Source organism: Homo sapiens, chromosome 2 (assembly GCF_000001405.40).
Source record: "Homo sapiens chromosome 2, GRCh38.p14 Primary Assembly".
NCBI classification, from domain to species: Eukaryota; Metazoa; Chordata; class Mammalia; order Primates; family Hominidae; genus Homo; species Homo sapiens.
In genome coordinates, this window is record NC_000002.12 from 210,566,108 (window position 1) to 210,587,043 (window position 20,936).

Here is a 20,936-nt window from a genome sequence, read left to right on the forward strand (position 1 = left end):
ATGGGGCAATGCAGCCCTCTACAGCTGAGATAGACCCTGAAAAATTTGACAGCAGGAGATGGTTTGCTGACCTCACTCCTCACAGCAGGGCAGCAAGTTTTTCCATTATTAATATGAATAATTATCTATGTTATCTAGAAATTGAATCCTCCATCACTGGGGAAAAGGGAGGGGGGACTGAGAGGTGGATCTCCTTATTCATCACAGCATCTAGGGTTCCAACAATCTTCAGTGCTTGAGAACTCAAGGGCCTAGGATCAGTGCAAATTGTTCTCGAAACCTGCTGATTCTCCTCAGATTATAATGACTCAGGTAATTCATGACTTGACATTTCACTTTGACAATTTACAGATTTATAGATAGGTAGTTCTTGGTTGACCTGGGCCTGTTGTGGCTTATCCATGGCAATTTTGAATTAAGGCTCTTATAAATAAATTTAAATAGAGTTCATGCTTAAATTTCTTTTAATCCTCACTTACGAAATTGGAAAGCAGAAATAAAAGTAAGCTTAGAAAAAGAAAAAGAGGTTATAAGTCAAACAGACTGGGTTCAGAAACCGCTGCTCTTCCAGTTGCTAATAGAATGATCTTTACTTCTCTGAGGCTCAGTTAGTTCAAGTGTAAAATGGAGATTTCAATATTACCTACATCATTATTTTTTGTGAAGATTAGATGAGAAAACCCACTAATGGCTTTAAAGATAGTATTCAGTACGTTCATGTTAACTGTTATTAAGGATGTCATAGGGAATTGATCAGAATGGAGTTCTCGGTGACACAACATGCTCCCAAACCTTACTTTTCCAACATAGCTTCATAATTCTGTTTGAAGTAAGATACCTTTCCCAGAACAGTATAAATTTATTATTCAAATCCAAATTCTCAACTTATTTGTACAACTGCATATAGACTTTAATAAACATAGATAATTATATATGCAACCCAGTTTATGTTTTAATAGGTTATCAGTAAAGTAATGGCAGAAGGTAGAAATAGGATAGTGACAGGTCAATCTACGTCTACCAGACATGCTTAAGAAGTGTTAACGCTTTACTTTATCCAAATATCAGTATTACAGCTTTTTTAAGGGAGGTATTTTAACATTTGAACTCACACTAGTGTAAGTTTAAAGTATACGTTATCTTTAATTACTATTTCCAAAATTAATTATACCAACATTTACTGAATGCCAAAGATGTACCAGGATTATACATAGATCTCAACAACAAAAAACAGTAAAAATATAATAGCCTCAGTATTTTTAATAGAGGGAGAATTATTATTAGTTATAACATAGTTGGGGACTTGGTATAGAAATGTAATATTGTAAGCATGAGACCACATCAGTGAATTAAAACAAACAAATTTTTTGCTGACATACAGTAAAATTTGGCAAGCATTTTAGATGAAAAGTAAAGGAAGAAAAAGAGAATGTTTGGGTTATATATACTGAATGCAGCTTTATTCTTTTCCCTAGTGATGGAGGATTAGATTTCTACATAACATAGGTAATTATTAATATTAATGATAGAAACAATTCATGAGGAAACCTAAAGAATGACATTTAGAAATCACCTTTTTGGGTCTTCTTCTGAAGGCATTACTTATATGACACCTGAATGGTAGAAGAAAGCCTAAGGGTACTTTTTGGGCAGCAATTGCCACCCAGCCTTAACTCATTCCTTACTTTCATCTTCTATCTTTTAGCATGAACTATACCTATGTGAAATATTTGTCTTTGCTTTCAAGAGGAGAAGATGAAAATTAGTAAAATGACCAGAAGTCAGTGAGCATCAAATAACTATTTTGAAAACACCATAGTGTCAGCATTGTAACATGCTAATATCACATAATGAAGTACATTTCTATGCATTCACCAACTGTGTAGTGAGAACATTACTGTGTGGACAACAGTGGGCTATTTCAGTGGGGATACAGCATGGAATTAGGCATTGTGTTTTCCAGATGTAACATTGAGAAGTTAAAATCTAGTACGGTAGATAAATACCTTTAGCAATTAAAAGGTAACACACAACAGTATACACCAAATGCAGTCAGTGGAAGCACAAGAAAATCAGTGATTAATTCTGATTTAGTACACACCATGGGTACTAGGAAGCAGTACCAGGATGTAAAAGGCAACGAGGAAGACATTTATGCACAAAGGACTGACAGAGAGGTGGGGAATCTAAGGTATTCCATATAGAGAGCGAGCCAGATGAGAGGACTTTGAATGTGAATTGAGGAATTTGGGGAATGGTGTCACCCAATTAATGTTTAAGAAAGCCTTAACTATATTTCATAGGACAGGTAGAAGTAAGGAGAGACTGGAGGCAGGCAGAACAAGTAGGAGGCAATAGCAGGTGATGATGGGATTTTTGTCTTGGGTGGCCATGCAATTTCATATAGTGTGAAGTTAATTCTAAAAACCAATAGGTAACTATTTATTAGTTAGAGCCATTATTATTATTAGATACTATGTGATGAGGTAGAACTATTTTTAATTGGAGTATTATTTAAATAACTAGCCTGTAGGACCAGATGTGACTTGACAGTTGTGACTCCAAGATACACTAGGAAAATATGACAAAGGGAGAGAGGTTGAGACTCCAAGAAACTTAATATTTAAGGTTTTAAAATATTCGTAAGACTAACCACTGCTAGAAAAAACGTTGCATTAGATATCTACATTTTAGATAAGTTCCACCAATAATAAAACAAGTGAATTAAGAATTTGAAACATGGTTAAAATAAAAAATTATATGCAGTGTAAGATGAAAAAATTACTGTTTAATATTTTCAGAATTAAAAGAAATAATCAGGAGGATGGGTGTGGGGTAGGAGAGCATATGCTTTTTTTTTCTACTATAACTTTTCCTCTCTTATCAAATTCACTATTTAATCATTTAGAAACATTCTGCTAAATACTCAGTTGATTATCTGACTAAAGTAATTTCACTAAAGTGTGAACAAAGCTTAGTGACTTGTCTACTCTGTGCTAGCCACTGGTATAGGCTGGAGGTGCACTAGTGCAAGAAGCAGACCCAATACTCTGCCTGCATGAAGTTCACTTTCTAATGTGATGAAATAGATAATAAAAAAATCACTAGATGGTATGTTAAAAGGTAATGAGTATTATGAAGAAAGAGCAGACCAAGGAGAAAGAGGGCTGGGGAACATACTGTAATTTTAAATGAGGCCATCAAGGCAGACCTCTCCGAGAAAATGACATCTAAGCCAAGAGGAAGGAATCTTTAAATTTTGGATTTTTAATACAAAATTTGGCAAGTTTTTTTATTGAAATTTTAATTTTTATTGCTTAAAACATCAGTGGAAAAGAAAGGGCAAATTCTTTGGTTAAAGCTTAATCTCTCAAGGGAAAAATATTTATCTTTGTATTTCCACGTATTTCAGTGACGCCTCAGTGATATCCTTATTGAAGTTTTCTCTGTTTTGTAATCCATTCCCTTATCTAGCCTTTTACTAAACGAGAAGACTGGAGACATTCATCCATTTATCTACAGAGCCTAGCAAGGTGCTTGACACCTGGTAGGAGTTCAGTGTCTGAGACTTGAATGTCTAAATGGTCTTATTGGCATATACATTTTTATTAAACACATAGGGATCATGTCATGATAAGGTCCTTTATTTTATAGAACTCACATTTATATAATCCTTTGGTTACTTTTCCTGACATTCTACAAGAATACACTCTTCTTTTCATTAAGATTTCCTTTGTACTTCCCCTTTTCAAAGTAAGACGTGCTCTGGCAGTAGGCACTTAAATTATACTTAAATGTTATAATCTAATTCCTAGCCTGTGGACCTCTGTCAACGAGGACTGAGGATACTAAAATATCTTATGATAGTAACAAGGTGATTTCTTTTATACTCCTTGGAATGAAATAGCATTTGGGGAACTGTTAGTTAGAAGAAAGGATTCCAAATAATAGCTCTTTGTTCAGTGTTTGTCCATCAATTCATAGATAAGTCAATTGGCACTCATCATTTTAAATGCATCAGGGGCCAGTGTAGTTAGGAGATATATAGAGAGTACTTTAGGCAGTAAACAGAGGCTTTGTAACAATATAATGTGTAGTGGGAAAGAGGATTGGAAGATCTATAAAAACTGCCAAAAGAACCAAAAATATAATTAAAGCAGCAAAAAGACATATTGAACACAATCTCAGGGACTATTTCACGCAATAGCAAATGTCTCTTCAACTACAGAGATGGAAAGCAAAATAGAAAACTAGTTTCATGAAGGGAGTGAGAAAAATACCAAACAGAATTGTAGGAATAGGCTCACAAGTGTTGATTTTCTTATGCTAATTTTTACCCTTCTTTAAAATGATCAGAAAGTGTCTAACCCAGATATGGGATAATTTGAAATTCTCAGATGAGAAAAGAGAAAAGCAAAATAAAAATATAAACAAAGGTAATATTTTAAGCAAGCATGTCTCAGAGTAGCACAGATAAACTGATATGTAGAAAACTATTGAAATTTACAGTCTACACTCAAATTTTGCCAACTAAATACAGTTGGTTTAGGTTCTATCAAAGTTACATATTATCTAAATTTTTTTCTTTTTCTTTTCATTTTGTAAAAGCATGGAGGTTTACACACGATTTCCTCAAGAACAAAAAAAACAATATTTCCAGTAGAAAATATTTTTCGATGGCAAATTTTCATTACTTAGACGAGAGGTTTCACCTAATAAAACACATCAGAGTTACCTGGGGAGTTTTCCTAATAAACACACTTCTATTCAGACCCATTAGCAGAGATATTTGCATAGCTTATAATAATCTTTAGAAATACACTGAATACTATCACTCTTACTTTCTAAAATCTTCAACTTCTGTCTTGAATTGTAATTAGACAAAAACTAGCAAATTAAAACAAAATTTAGAATCAGAATAGCACATTATCAGAAGAAACATGCGAAGCTGATTTCCTGGATACAGAAGCAGAATTCAGACTTCTGTATTAAGATCATTTCTTCCATAGAAGTCTGGTTTCACTCATAATAAATAATAAATAAATAAATTATTGTGGTTTCCTTTGTGCTGAGTAACTCTAAAGTATTTTTAAATTTAGTGAAGACAAACTCCAACTATTTAAAGTGTCAAGCTTGAGATTTCAAACACTGGGTCGAAGGAAATAGATAAATCTTTAACTCAAAGATAATTTGATAAGCCTAGTAAAGGACAAAATATTTTTGGCTAATCTTGCCCAGGAACACACGCATATGCTCACTCACACACATACAAACACACATAAAATGTACAGTAGAGTACATTGTTCAATCTTTCTCAGAAATACAAACTTGAAATTCACATATCGTACCTCTGATTTAAAAAAACTAATAAAATTATCTGTTGAGAGGAACATCTTAAACATATCCTATCAATTTTAATGGAAAACACTAACATAGTTTTGTGTGTAAATGTAAGTTAATAGGTATACACACTCACACATAAACAAGACGTCGGAATATAGTATATTGGTTTAAAGGTAATCAAGACATTATTTTACATTGCAGAACACAATCATTCTAATGACAAGAGACTTGGGTGCTTTGGATCTAAAAGAGGCATCTTATTTCTACAGAGAGAATTATTATAGAAAAATAACGGGCTTTCTTCATTTTAACATTTGAAAAATTGAGTGCATGTTATAAAGCAAGAGGAACATAGAAACAAAGGTCTAGAAATCATTTATGGAGTTCCTGCTGCCTACTAAAGTTTGTGTGTGTGTGTGTGTGTGTGTGTGTGTGTGTGTGTGTGTGTGTGTGTGTGTGTATGTGTAATGGGAGTGGAGGTGGGGTGGCAAGATTTAAAAGGATTAGGCACTTTGGCCTCAGTCCTAAAACTGTAAGGGAAGTAAAATGAAGAATTAGTATTTTTTTTTGTCTTCGATGACTACACTTAAACCTTGCAGAAAGAATAGCACAATGAACTCCTTTACTTCAGGAAATTCGACTCATGGCCAGACTTCTTTTCTCTATATGCCTGTCTATCCCCCTGACTGCTGATTACTTTGAAGGAAATCTCAGATATCATACTATTTTATCCTTGAATATTACAGTGTATATCTTTTAAAAGGCAACAACTTAAAAATGTAACTACAATCCTAAGAAGATCAATCTTAAAAAATTACTTAGTATAATCAAATATCAATTTATGATTCTAATTTCCTCAATTATTGCAGATATGTTTTTCTTTATACTTTAATTTTTAAAAACCACATTCTAATTAGTTTGTCCTATAGAGTTTCTTAGAGAATCTGTATTTTGTCTCCTAAGGTGTAGTTGAAAACATTTCTCTCTCCCTTGAATTTTACGGAAATTGAGAGTTAGATTTAAATGGTTTCAACAACAGAATTTAGAGTATTTATAAGGAGTAGATGATGTCTGCTTCTTAAATGTTTTTCCAGTTGTCCCTCTTCTTAGCTAAGAATTTGGTAGACACTGGCTCAAAGATTATTATGGCAAAGTTATCAAATTCCGAATGCCATAGTATAGAGAAGGAAGTAGACATGGATATAATTAACTCTAATAAAAAAGCAAAATACAATATACTTCTAGAATGTTCCACAGTGCTTGGTTTTGTGTCAGCATTAAGAGAGTGATAAAGTTTCAGTTTCTTCATGAACATAATTCTGGCATGGAAAGGGCAACCCTTGGGACAACTCCATCAAACACAAGAGCTCTGTGGAACACAGTTTGATAGATAATCTTGAAGATTCCTTCTGGCTCTAAATCTCAGAGTGATGATGAGCTGTATGGTACAATTCACAATGTTTTTGCAAACTCATGAACTTTCCTTAAAGCTATTCTTGAGCAAAGCTAGGGAATGATAAAGGGGAAAAGACAGATACATAACATTTCAGCTAAAGTGAAGTATTTCTGGCTTGTTAACAACTCTACAAGTAAACTTAGAATAGACAATGTATCTGCATGCTTCAGTTCCTCTTCCAAGAAAACAAAACAAAACATCTGCCAGTTACAAGAGCTATATATTTGAAGAAAAGTGACAAGTAATAGGAAAGCAACTGGAAATCTGGGCATTATGGTTTCATTAAATATACTGTGCCTTTATTTAATATGTCTGTGTATTTTACCTTTGGAATATTTTTGTGTGTTTTGTATTATGTATTCTGCTAAGATTCATGCAACTGTTTCTTCAGGCACAGACAGCACACATTGTCCTGGAAGATGGAACTAAGATGAAAGGTTACTCCTTTGGCCATCCATCCTCTGTTGCTGGTGAAGTGGTTTTTAATACTGGCCTGGGAGGGTGAGTAATGCTTTTCCAAGGCTTTATTTTTCCTCTAGTAGAGAAATAACTGGAAGATCTCACTCATGGTGGTAAGTTGAAATCACTGCATCGTAGTAAGACTACGTATTGTCCTGAAGTTGCACCATGCCTTGTGCATAGCCTACTGCTGCCGTCCTTGAAAGAAAGTTAGACATGAACTTCCTGCTACTGTAAATGAAAGACAACATGGGCACACTGGTGGTCCCCTGGATAAAAAGAACAAAATGAATTCTAGAAACTTAGGTTGTGAGGACACAGGTTATGTGAGATTACCAAATGGTTTCTGTAAGGGGAGGTATGGGTCTGATTAAGGTGAAAATCGGAGCAAGGAAAAGAATAGATAGTATATTCTAGTGCTATTTCATTAGGAAAGAATCAATTTTGCACATCTAATATGAAATACTATAAGAAGATTAGAAAGTCCTTGGGTATTTTATATAATTTTGCACTCTAGTAAGAAAGTTGAAATAACAGATACATTTATTATCTTTAATCAATGAGGGAGCATCTGTGTAGATCTAATATTTTCAATAATTATCAACTGTGACCTGCCTTAGTATTTAAGACCTGCTAACATGTACAGCAATGAAAACGAGAGTTGCTACAGAAATTAAGTGGCTGCTTTTACCTAGTTAATAAATGTTTGTTCACCTGGGAATCAGGAGGCTGAAGTTCTAGTCTCAATTCTAAGGATAACTAATTATATAATATTGGGAACATCACTTAAGCTTTTTGAGTTCTAGTTTCTTCATATAAAAAGTGAGGGGGTTGGATTAAATACTAATTTACAGCTGGGGATTTAAACAATTATGTGTCTTAAAAACATGACTAGATTGATTGAAGGGGTTTCCAATACAGATTCAATCCAACTAGTATTCTATGAAATATTTGATAAATTCTTTAGAGAAATTCAAGTTAGTCTCATAAAGACAAGGGGGCATTAGGTTCACTGATACTGAATATACTAATTGACCAAACTTCCATTATATTATTAATTTATATTCTTTCTTAAACTCTTGCCTCCCTGTGTGAAATGAAGAATATTAGAGGGGTTTTTAAATAGTTCCACTGGTGAGAACATTAAATTACAGTGTATGAAATCTGTTTGCAAAGTTTTGCTTCACCAGGCAATTATTTAAACTTTTCGACAGCACTAATTACTAGCTGTGTTAATATACCTGCCAACAAACAACTGTTTAATATAGATCAGCATGATGGAGGGCACTAGAGTTTTCTTCTCTGTGATAGTTTACAGGTAATAAATCTTGTCACATCACAAAAGTCAAACAGGAGCTGATGGATTAATTTGCTCCCAACACTGTAGTTCTCTAAAACAAAGTATATTTATTCATTTACTGAAGAGTATTGTAAGCATATGTTTAAAGGGAATGGTAAGTTCTTTTATGGAAAGAAAGAAGAAAGAGAAGTAAAATCAAATTAATTAAAGTTTTTTTTTGATGTAGGAAAAGGTATTCATCTATAAGATTAGTCCATAGACCCTATTTTCCATTGAGAAATGCTTCTTTCATTCATTACGTGCCTCACTCAGTAAGGTGGTTGATAATTAAAGGGGTTATTTTGTTTTTCATCTTTAAGCAATGCATTTATATTGTGGGCAAGCCTTGGTTAAAAAATTATCAGTTCCTGACAGATAAGAGACATCTGAGAAATTAGCTGATGGAAGCTGCGGAAAAACACCACAGCCCTCGAGTCACCTTAGGGATTGCAGAGCTGAAAGACTATGTATTTTGTTGACAAGGTTAGTTCTGGTAGGCGTTAGTCTGGATGGTGTTGAAGAATTTATGTTGACTACTGCCTGCGTTAAACTTTATTGGTTTCAAAGTCGTTGATTCTGTGCCCCTGAGCACCTAAATTCACTTTCAGTTGTAATCCACAAAAAAGGATTTAGCTTAACTCATTTTGCAGAAAGTGGACATGGAAGAGAGCAGGAAAAAAACCTCAATTGCAGTGTATTCCAGTGCATGGAAAAAGTGTAGATAGCTCCTGGTATTCATGGGAATAACGTTTCTTCTTCTTAAGAATAAGAAATATGTGTGTGTGTGTATATACACACACGATATGTATATGCACACACACACACACACACACACACACGATATATTTGTATTTTTCCTCTCACCCAAACTTAAAAATATAGCCCTCCTGCATTCCTCCCTAATTCCATATCAGTACTTTAAAATAGTTAGTTGGCATCTTTTAACTTAGAAGTCAGAAATCCCTCAAGTCAAGTCTGCGAGATGAATTTTTTTCTAAGCAGATAATAACTTTCAAACTTATATGCTTCTTTCTAAAATTAAAATATTTTAAAAATCAACTTTATTGAGTTATTCTTTCATATAAATTAACTCACTTATTCTAAATATTCATTGAATTTTAATAATCATATATACTCATGCAACCACCACTAACACAATCAGGCTACTCTTCAGTATCCTAAAAAATATCAAGAAAAACTTTTCAATGTTTCGATGGTTACTATCTTGGTGAAACTGGCAGCCCTCAACAGTAAATATCAGTTTGGGCTCAATGATATCTGGTAGGCCAGGGAAATCTTTAGAGTATCTGCAAACTTTAAATAGAGCAGGGATATTTTAAAAATTAAGATGCTAGCAAGGGATTTTTAAAGGAATTAAAAAATTTAAAGAAATTGAGGGAATAAAACTTATATGAAAATATACCTTGGTACTCACGAGTTGGTTTTTCTTTATATCAATGACATCGTGGTATAAATTTTTATATTCTGTCATAACATTTCCCCAGGTACGTTAAAATCTAGAGACATTCTTGTTGGATTCTTCTCATTTTCAAGGGTTAAATAATTCAGAGCATGTATGCAGATTATAGCTTTGTAGTTACATACATTATTTGCTGATAATTTTTTGGCATGTTTACCCAGGTACCCAGAAGCTATTACTGACCCTGCCTACAAAGGACAGATTCTCACAATGGCCAACCCTATTATTGGGAATGGTGGAGCTCCTGATACTACTGCTCTGGATGAACTGGGACTTAGCAAATATTTGGAGTCTAATGGAATCAAGGTAGTACCAGTGGTGGCCATTTAAAAAGTCTCAATTTGAGGGAGTATAGTTGACTTATTCTTAAGAATTAGGATGGCCAAACTTTCTTCCTCAATACGGTAGTACAAATCATTAAGCTCATGTATTCAATCTTATTCCTAGGTACATGAGAATAATCTTTAACTTGACAGTATTTTGAGTTTCATTTCTCAGGGCACTTTGAATTTTAATGCGTTGGATGAAACTTGGCTTAACTTGAAAAAAATGTTATAAGTTCAAATAACAACTATGCTATAAAAGGATTGGGGAAGAATCACCTTTTAAAAGGAATTTGGTAATGAATTCTGTATCAATTATTTGCTTTTTAATCTTAGCCTCTAGGGGATGATTTAAAGATAGCTTTTATGCCAGTCTAAAAGTAAACATATTAAGATTTCCTAAACAAGGTAATTTTGGATACTCTCTTAGGAATATATATCATATAAACAATTCAAAAATTTATATTCCAAATTCAATACTATTTTTTCACCATTCCATTTTTGAATGACTTCAACTGATCATTTAACTTAGTTTTCACTATTTCTCACAATTTCCCATCAATTTTTTCTCTGCTTTAAGTATAAATTAAAAATGATTTTGTTCATCATGTGCATTAAGCCAGTAATTATTAATTAAATTCTTGATAAATGCCATGCATGTCAGAAGGGGGACCTAGTTTAGTCTCAGGATTTACCAAGCCAGGTAAGCCTGCTCCCTCTCAGGATAATTAATGCAACAATTACATATTTTAAAAGAAGGGCATTGATTTTTTTTTTTTTGCCTCTTGTTTTTAAAAATCCTAAGTCTCATGTCAGTGGATATCATAAAACTTAAAAACAAATGCAAATTGACTCACAAGAGTTGGATAATATCTTGTGATAACCTCTTTAAAATGACTGTCTGTCTTTCTAGGTTTCAGGTTTGCTGGTGCTGGATTATAGTAAAGACTACAACCACTGGCTGGCTACCAAGAGTTTAGGGCAATGGCTACAGGAAGAAAAGGTAAGAAATGTAATAGGGCATCCATCATCACCTAAGGAAGGTTGAGAAGGTGCCTGTAGATTCAGAAGTGCCAAGCAGACAGAGGAAGATCATGTAGTTTGGGATCTTTGCATTTCAGAGAGGGATTCCTTCTCTTACTACATAAAGGCTGAAATGTCTGAATTCCTCCTTAAATGCTGATGAGCACATATTTTCAGTTTATCCACTAGGTGGCACTCATACATGCTTGGTAGCACTTCACATTTGGGAAGGGAGGGGTAAGATAAAATTTTAGCATTTTCTCTTCTCTTTAGCAATTGAGTCTTTTACTCTCCTTCACCGTTTTATCTAGAATGTAGTAATGGAACTTGCTTCATGGGTTCTAGTGTTCTAGTACCAGCTCTACTGTTAACTGGTTGTGTAACTTTGTGCAGGTCACATAATCATTCTATGCAATACTTGCATCATCTCTCATTCTTATGAGTATAAGCAGATTACCATCAAGTCTCGTTGGGCTTCAACATTATGACATGTAATTATATATAATTTCATTTGACATATTAATAATGTAAGAAAAGGGTTATAAAACTTTATCTTACACTTTTAGTTTAAATATTAATTTCTTTTCTTTTTTTTGAGATGGACTTTCACTCTTGTTGCCCAGGCTGGAGTGCAATGGGGCAATCTCAGCTCACTGCAACCTCCACCTCCAGGGTTCAAGCTATTCACCTGCTTCAGCCTCCCCAGTAGCTGGGAGTACAGGAGCCTGCCACCATGCCCGGCTAATTTTTTGTATTTTTAGTAGAGACGGGGTTTCACCATGTTGGCCAGGCTGGTCTCAAACTCCTGACTTCATGTGATCCACCCGACTCAGCCTCCCAAAGTGCTGGGATTACAGGCTCACATGAGCCACCGCGCCCAGCCATAAATATTAATTTCCAATGAAAAAAGAGCATTTGCCTTGTTTGGATGTTAGAAGTACTTAAGTTAATGGACCTGCTTCAATTAACTTCATCTCCAGTGTTGCTGTAGCTGCTTTTTGTTCAACTGCTGGGCCTGTAATTGACAGAATTTTATTCTACGAAAGTGCTGCCTCTCCAATGAGTGTCTATCTATGGGGGCTAAACATTGCTGCTTTCTGAAAAATAAAAAAAATCTTGATCCTGGCTCTTTAGATCTCATTCTTTCTAAATTTTAAAAGGGAGAAGAAGGCATCCATATCATATCCTGGGCCATAGCCATTTTCTTCTCAACTATTATCTGAATTTATCTTCCTTATCCAGGCAGCTAATTTCTGTAATCGTCATTTGGGAGACACTTCTCTCCCCCCAGCCCCCAACAACCCAAGCTTTCCTTTTCCTTTTTGTTATTTAGGACACTTGTTCTCATAGCTTTTCTATGTCAGAACTAATAGTTTTAGTGTAAGCCTAACCAACGGCTTGTAAGTTCGTTTTTTAAATGTGCTTTGAACCTTCTTCCATGATCACAGACATGTAGAGTAGAAAAGAATCCAAGATAATAACCAGTTCACCTCCTTCAATTTACCGGTGAGAACAAATACATTGCTTAAACATTTCTCAGATAATTAGTGGAAGAAAAAAAAACTAGAACATGTTTTCATTTTTTAACCTCTTTTTAAAAAAATCTTATTTTAGTAAAAAGCCTCCCGTGGGATAGAACCTGTTTTCTTGATTCCTAACTCATTACTCTTTCATTATACCACATGTGTCTCTATCCAACGTAGTCAAAGAACCTTAAAACAAATGGTGGTCCTGCCTGATGGACTAACAGGATGATCATGTTTTAGTACAACATGACTACTCAACATGGCCCTTCAGAAAAATGTGTTGAGTGCCTACTCTGTGCCAGGAACATTTGGCTCAAAACATGGATTTGCATATTATTGCTTATGAAGTTCACCAATGTGATTTAACTTACTTAACATCCTGGGTTAAAAGCAATAGAAGTGTAGCAGAAGATTGATGTTCAGAATTTCTCATTTTTTTACTCTGAGAAAGAACCTGGGTATTAAGAGTCCTATGCCTAACTGTAGCAACAATTTACTGTGTTCTGACAATACAGTCACCCTGGGTCAGAGAAAAGAAAGAGTGGAGAAATTATTTACTGCTCAAGAAGATAGATGAGGCCAAGTTTGTAACTTGAAAACAATATGCTGGATTTAATCTCCTCCAATTTCACTGTCACTACAATTTTTTTCTTATAGGTTCCTGCAATTTATGGAGTGGACACAAGAATGCTGACTAAAATAATTCGGGATAAGGTATAATCATCATCTTTAGCCAAATCTATGTTTCTTCGGGTGTGTGTGTGTGTGTGTGTGTGTGGTGTTTCCCTCAGTGCCTAAGGGATCCATTAATATGTAAAGGAGTGAATCTGGCCAGCTTCTGCTATCTGGGTCTCTGTTATTTTGTTTTACTATTTTCACTGTAATTTTCAAGATTGAATACTTGATTGGTATGTTTTTAACTGAATGGACTTGAGATTCATTCACCTGGCAGCTTATTGAGTGCCCACTATGTGTTCATTATACCAACAAGTCAAGGAATTTATAATTCAGCTCATGTGATAGAACTTTAGTGAAACAAGTGGAGAAGGTAACAAATTGCATAACAATTTTGCCTGAAGTGAAAACCTACATGCTGAAAAATACACTCCAGGAAGTGTACAGCATTGTTACTGTTATTTGTTTTGTCCTTGTGAAAGAGTTATTTGTAAAATTAATGCATTATCTTTCATGAATGTGCCAAATAAGCCTTGCATGCATTACTTCAATTATATAGTCTTTGTTGAGACCATATCAATAACCAAGGTGATAAAAGGGAAGGTTATCTTTTGCTTTCAGTGAAGTCTGATTGCTACAACATCTGACCCCTCCTCTGAGAATATCTCATCACCATCTGCTTGTTGAGTTTATTATTATTTTACTTGAAATTTCCATATTCCAAATCTGAAAGAAACATTACGTCACTAACGTTAACTAAATTCCCCAAATGCAACTAAAGTTTTCTTACTAAATATAATTACATAAAAATAAAAAGATAAATGACACAATTTGAAACTACACATGTGGGCTGGGTGCAGTGGGTCATGCCTGTAATCCCAGCACTTTGGGAGGCTGAGGCAAACGGATCACTTGAGGTCAGGAGTTCGAGACCAGCCTAGCCAACATGGTGAAACCCATCTCTACTAAATATACAAAAACTAGCCAGTTATAGTGGTGCACACCTGTAATCCCAGCTACTTAGGAGGCTGAGGCAGAAGAATCACTTGAACCCGGGAGGCGGAGGTTGCAGTGAGCTGAGATCATGCCACTGCACTCCAACCTGGGCGACTACAGGACCCTGTCTCAAAAAAAAAAAAAAAAAGTACATATGGGAAAAGGAGTCTTCAAAAAATTTTTTTGTAGATTTCTTGTTAGGATATATACATATATATATTGACACAGGCTTTCTGTAAACAGAAGGAAAAAACAGCTTTGAAAATAAAAACATGGCCAAATACCCATGACCAGAAGGAAGACAGTGAGAGTTTATGCCATCATTCTATCCCACCTCTGATTTTATTCACTCTACCACGATTTTCCTGAGAATAGGTGTTAGTGAAATTATATATCCCAGGGAGATTCTTGTGTTCTCTCAGCCTAATGATGTGTGTGAGCAGTAAGCAATGACGAGGCTATGAGGGCGGGAAAGGAATACAGTTGGGAAAATCAATTCAGATGGCAGAATTGGCAGGTTGAATAAAATATAGTCAGGCCTAATGATTCAGGAAAACTTTACAAGACCGCACTTGTCTTTCATGTGATATGTTAGGTTAAAACGAGCCCTCCTTTTATCATAGGCAGTTAGGTTTTCAAAATTGGCGGAATAGATTGGCACAGACAAAACAGTATTGCCTCATATTTCTTTATCAGTGATGGTGGTTCATATTAAAAATGTATATTATGGCTTTCACTTCTATTAACCTTAATTTGAAAAGTAAGATCGTATTTCATTCAGCATGTTTTAAGAAAAGGGGAAGGAGAACTAAAAACCAATTTTCAAAATTAGGGATCCATAAATATAGACAAGGGGTTATGCGACTTGGATTATAAAAGTAAATACAGGCCACCATGAAATGTAGTAATCTACTATGGAAGTGAAAGGTGGTTTTTAGGTAGTGTTCCCAGACTTAGAGGCAGCACTCTGAATTTAATAACAGCACTGAAACATCCATCATGCTTGCATGACACATAGGTACTTTCTACTCTCACTTACCCCCAAGTGACTTCTCCTTCAAGGAATACATTTAAAAGGGAAATGAAAGCTTCCTTCTATTTCCTTCCATGCAATAATTTCATCAGAGAAGGGCATATCAATGAATTATTTTGAATTTTTACCCCTCAATAGAATCTTGATTACTAAATATAGCATGCCATTTTTCTAAGTAGTTCAAAGCAGACTTACTAACAAATAAGTAAATCTCAAGATACAGCTGAAAAAAGGTGACATTGTCGTGTTCAAGCTAGCAAGGATAGTTTGTGAAAACTTTACAGAGGGTTGAACATTCTTTCAATTCAGGCCCATAGGAACACTTGGATATGAACATGCCTAAACAGTGAATATTTTCATTTCAAATTCTAGAAGTTTATGACTTATGTTGCATTTCATCTTCTTTGTGAATTAATATTACTATCATAATGAATGAATTCCCGCTTTTTTTGTGATTTTTAGATTCCTTATTGTCTCAATAGATTTTTTTTGTCCATTTCTCTCATGAAATGTCTTTAGGTCATATACGCTGAGTAGTGTAAGTTTACTAAATATCCCGATTTGCATCAGCCTGGAGCCTGGAGACCTGAATTCTGATGCCTTTTGACTTTGCCTTCATCAGGCAATGGTGTCAGCCCTAGAAGAACTAATTGTATTTCCAAGAGTATTTCCCAAAATGTATGTGCAAATTGCTTAATCTTTTCAGTTTGAGAAGATGAAGATCTTCCATGATGGTTACGAGTAGTTATAAAGACATCTAAGTCTTGCAGCAGCTGTTTAAAGTCCCTGTGAGTTTATCTTGTCAACACCTTTATCGTTGCTTCCTTTTAACTGTCTAATTTTTTTAATTTGATAGGGTACCATGCTTGGGAAGATTGAATTTGAAGGTCAGCCTGTGGATTTTGTGGATCCAAATAAACAGAATTTGATTGCTGAGGTTTCAACCAAGGTGAGGGGTTTTCCTTTATATTTTGTAGTTTTATTTGATCCCATTTAGACCTTCTTGAAATATCAAAATCTTTATTTAGGCAGAGTTTATCTTCCAGAAGCACCAGTGTTCAGGGGTAGAAAGGGATCTCATAGCAGCTAAAATACACCTTACAAAATCAGTGCATTTAAAGCTGGTTTTACTTACAGGCTTACATGGGAAACTTCATGCCCCAATTTAGAGGATTTTTACTAAATTTAGTGTTCCTTCCACCTTTTCTGATTCTTCAGCTTAGGATTTTAACAATGTAAAATAAAGGAAGCACTGAATTGCCAAAGATAGGTCCAGTGATGATGAGGAGTCAGAGCTAGTAACCTGCCAGAGAGCCAAGAGAATTTTACAGAAATCAGGCACAGTAATCAGAATCTGGGGGCATTTTGTGCAGGAAAAATATTTATTCATACACTAAAGATTTATTGTGTTATAGCTTTGTTTCAAAATTAATGTTCGTAACGATGACTGAGTCACCCTAAAGTGAAATATCTTTAGTATACATTTATAAAAAGGTAAAGAATACATTTTAGAAAGAAGTCCATTGGTTTTGATTGAATATCTACTAATGTAGGTGTGAGTGAGTTTCTTGAGCTACAGTCTCTGTCCTTGGGGAGCATAGAGCCTGGTGGAACAAACAAGCAAGTAAATCACCATGTGCAGAATCCTGTGATAAATGCTGTCCTTGGAGTGTTCATAGCATGCTGCAAGGGCATGCATGGGGCAGCATTGAAATGGGATAGGTGGATCAGAGAAGGCCCTGTAGAAATGTGAGTCCTGTTTTGAGACACAAAGAGCGGGTAGTAACAGTAAGGTAGATGAAGAACCAGGAGAACTTTGTTTCAGGCAGAAGGAATGGCTTGCCAAGAGGCATAGAGGTACAGAACAACATAGTATATTTGAAGAGTTACGCACAGTTTGGGATGGCTGAACCAAGGGGTTCACACCTATTGGTTTACACACTTGGGCAAGGATAAGTGGAGATGGACTGACTGAAGCTAGGTCTAGAAGGTTTCATATCATTGGCTAATCAGCACTTCCAGAAACTATTGTCAACTCATTTGGTGTCATTTTGGAGCAAAGTAAAGCTGAATAAAAGAGCAAGCAACTAGAAGGTTATTGTAACTTATCAGAACAAAACTCACGAGAGCCTGAACTGAGCAGTAGTAGCAAGAACAGATACGGCAACCTAGGCCGCTTATACAAATGGGAGGAAGAGGGGCTGAATGAGGTCAGGTAAAAGATCACCTTACTTTCTCAGCTAAGGATTTCAACTAGTTAGGTTGAGCATAGTGATTATGTCATTTGATATCTGAGATGTTTATGGGATACTGCTATGAAATTTTTTTAAAGAAAAGTTTTTGATCCGCTTTGAAACTTAAAGGAAGAATTGCTACCTTCTGTTTTTACTACATACAATGGGAGTTAAAAATAGAGCTTCTCTTTCCTAGGACTATGTATTTGGTTACCATGGGGCTTTACATGTGGAGAATTTAGCCCTGTGGAAGCCTATGTGGCATCACAGCTATTGGCTGGTTCTACCTTGGGGTTTATTTATACTATAGCAGAGATGGCTACAAACTTCTCTTCCATCACCAGTGTGGCAATGGAATTTCTCAGAGAAACTCTACTTTATCCAAGTAGAAAGTGAGTGTTATTTTGACAAAGGCGATTGAAATTCTTAGAAAGGAAGGAGTAGAAAATGTACATGTGGACGCAAAATTTGATTTTAAATAGATGTATTCACCACAACATTTTATTTCTAGATATAACATACACTTTTTTGCCCATGATATTTCATAATTATCGTGGTCCATTCAATGTGGCAGCTCTGGTCTTCAAGGAAAATAATAACAACCAAGCTTTTTTGAACACTCAGTTAATTTTCATAAAAACTCCATGTCATAGATGAAGAAACTGAGGCTTAGCAAGTAAGTCTATTTAAAATCAAATGTAACTTGCCCAAGTTTAGTGTCAATTTGAATTCAAGTGACTCCAGAGTCTCTGTGGCTAACCTCATGCTATTTTTCTTTCCATTTTGATGGGAGTTTGACGGAAAAGCTTTAAAAAGCTCAATTTCTAGATTTATGTTCCATGAATTCAAGAAACCTCTTCAAGACTCCCTGTGAACCAATTTTCTATTTGGCCTGCTTCTTACAAGGCCTGAATATGTTTGTTTGCTTCTCTACGTAGAAATCTTTTCCCATGCTTTCTCCTTCCCCTTCTCGCCTGAAGAAGTCAGTTTCAAGAGTCAGCTCATTGTTCCTTTGTGAAGCTTCCATGACTCATCTCACCTTTGGATCCCATGTCATTTAATAAATAGCTTCAGTATAACAAGGATCAAATTGCATTTAACTCTTTGAAAGGATTGTCTCTTTCACTTGTCTTGGTTGGCTCTTTGAGGGGAGAGGCCATGGTTTACTTATTTGAATCCCCAGCACTGCCTATAGTACCTTTCACATAGTACATGGTCAACAAATAATGAATAAATAAAGGAATATACAAAGCCAGTAAATGGTAGTTACAGTTGGTGGTAAAGAAATTGCACATTCTTATTTTCCCTTCAAATCCTTTAATCAGTGTTTCTTATGGTTCTATGACCTCCATTATTAATATAATAAAATTATCATTATTACTAATAACTGTAAGTCTTATTAATAAAAAATAGGCACGATCTATTGAGTACTTATTATCTGCTAGGTTTCTTCTCAATGCTTTACACTGATTAATTTATTCCATCTTCAGTGTAATTATATGAGATGGGTATTATTAGGAACTCATTTACTGATGAAGAAACTAGGGTGTAGAGAGATTAAATACCTTCTTCAGTGTGAATGGCCATAGGATTATACATAGGAAGGCTTGGTCTAGTGTCTGTCTCTCAGAAAACATCATCCCATACTGCCTTTCAACATAGTAGAAATAATAGTTATGCAACTAACAGTTATACTATTAGTAACCATCCTTATACTACCATGTGATAATATTCAAATAAGTTTACATTGTTTCACTCCTTATACCTTTTACATATGCAGAGTAAGGATTCAAGAATTTTAAATCAGAAATGGTAAAATATGTGAATATGTGAATAGACTGGAAACTGACTCTGCTTGTATGGGTATCCTACCCGCTCCTGTGACAAAACCTTGTCATTGAGAGTCTTTAGAAAGGATGTTCCCATGCCCTTCCTGACACCTGTTCATCTGGGAAATGATTCATGTTGTGATACAGCACCAATCAGAAGGCGTATAGAGGACATTTCATAAGGAAGAGTTCCAGCGTGAGAGTTTTTAAAGGCTTTAAAAAAAGTTATTAAAAGAGTAAAACAGTCTGATCAGTAACATGTAAGACTCAGAGAAAACACACATTGATATTATCTGGTATTCCGGCTCCTGTCACGTGAAAATGAGAGACAAGGATTTTGGGTTCCTAGAAATTAGTACTGAGTCGTGATGTTCATGTCGGGCAGGGATGTGCATTCAAAACATGCTGAAGCCTAAGAAGTATGTGTTGTTAAAGAAAATCAATTTTAAATTAGATATGTAATTACTTATATGTATGGAATTTGATCATGGTGTTTGCAATACTCACTTCTGATTTTTAATTTTAAAATTGGTCCCATTCATATGACTTCCCCTTGTTTTACATATTTCCCTGTGAAATGATTTAGTTTGAAACACAGCATGATAGAGGGTGATGATAGATGATAGAATGTTAGAATTGAGAACTGCCTTGGTGGTTTAGTCTAGCATTTCCTAAACTGGAAAACAGTGGTGTGGAGCAATTCATCTTAAAAAATTCTGTGGTCAAGCAAGGTTGCAAAATGCTGCATAAGATATTCCTCTCTGTTAAGTCCAAGCACAAATCCATATATGCAAGTATCCATGAGGTCTTGTGTAACTTCTGTTATTCTTATGGACAGTATTTAATGTGTTTGTGTAGAGACCAGCAAAAATGAGCATATCTGTGTTTTTATCTGTGTCCAATCAAGGGAGATGCTGCAGTGGTGAAAGCTGGCTCCTTTGTTTCTTAATGTCAGTGCAATTAAATAATATTACTATAGCTATGATAAAATGCGTATTTGTATCAGGAGATTACATATATTTTGTGAGTTTTGTTTGACTACATGCCTTGGAAATGTTGATAACTTCATTCATTATCTTGTAATTACAATTTTCTGTAGCTACAACTAGATGGTAATATTGCTTTATTTTACATCAGAAGCCTAAGGTTAAGAAAAGATCTATACTTTTTCAAATTATTTGATGAGAAAGATTACCTGTGACATTCAATTCAGCAATAAC

At 35.0% G+C, this 20,936-nt stretch overlaps 1 protein-coding gene across 5 annotated transcripts in view; it reads left to right on the top strand.

The window, feature by feature from the left end:
* Positions 1-20,936, top strand: part of CPS1 (carbamoyl-phosphate synthase 1) — a 201,423-nt gene that overhangs the window by 88,423 nt on the left and 92,064 nt on the right. For all 5 annotated transcript variants that reach the window (NR_161225.1, NM_001369257.1, NM_001122633.3 and 2 more), the window contains 5 exons: positions 7,191-7,300; positions 10,239-10,383; positions 11,314-11,403; positions 13,607-13,663; positions 16,510-16,602. Coding sequence is in view for 4 of the 5 variants with exons in the window: in NM_001369257.1 (NP_001356186.1) it covers positions 7,191-7,300; positions 10,239-10,383; positions 11,314-11,403; positions 13,607-13,663; positions 16,510-16,602 (495 nt within the window). In the remaining variant the exon portion in view is untranslated. The remainder of the gene's footprint in view (positions 1-7,190; positions 7,301-10,238; positions 10,384-11,313; positions 11,404-13,606; positions 13,664-16,509; positions 16,603-20,936) is intronic.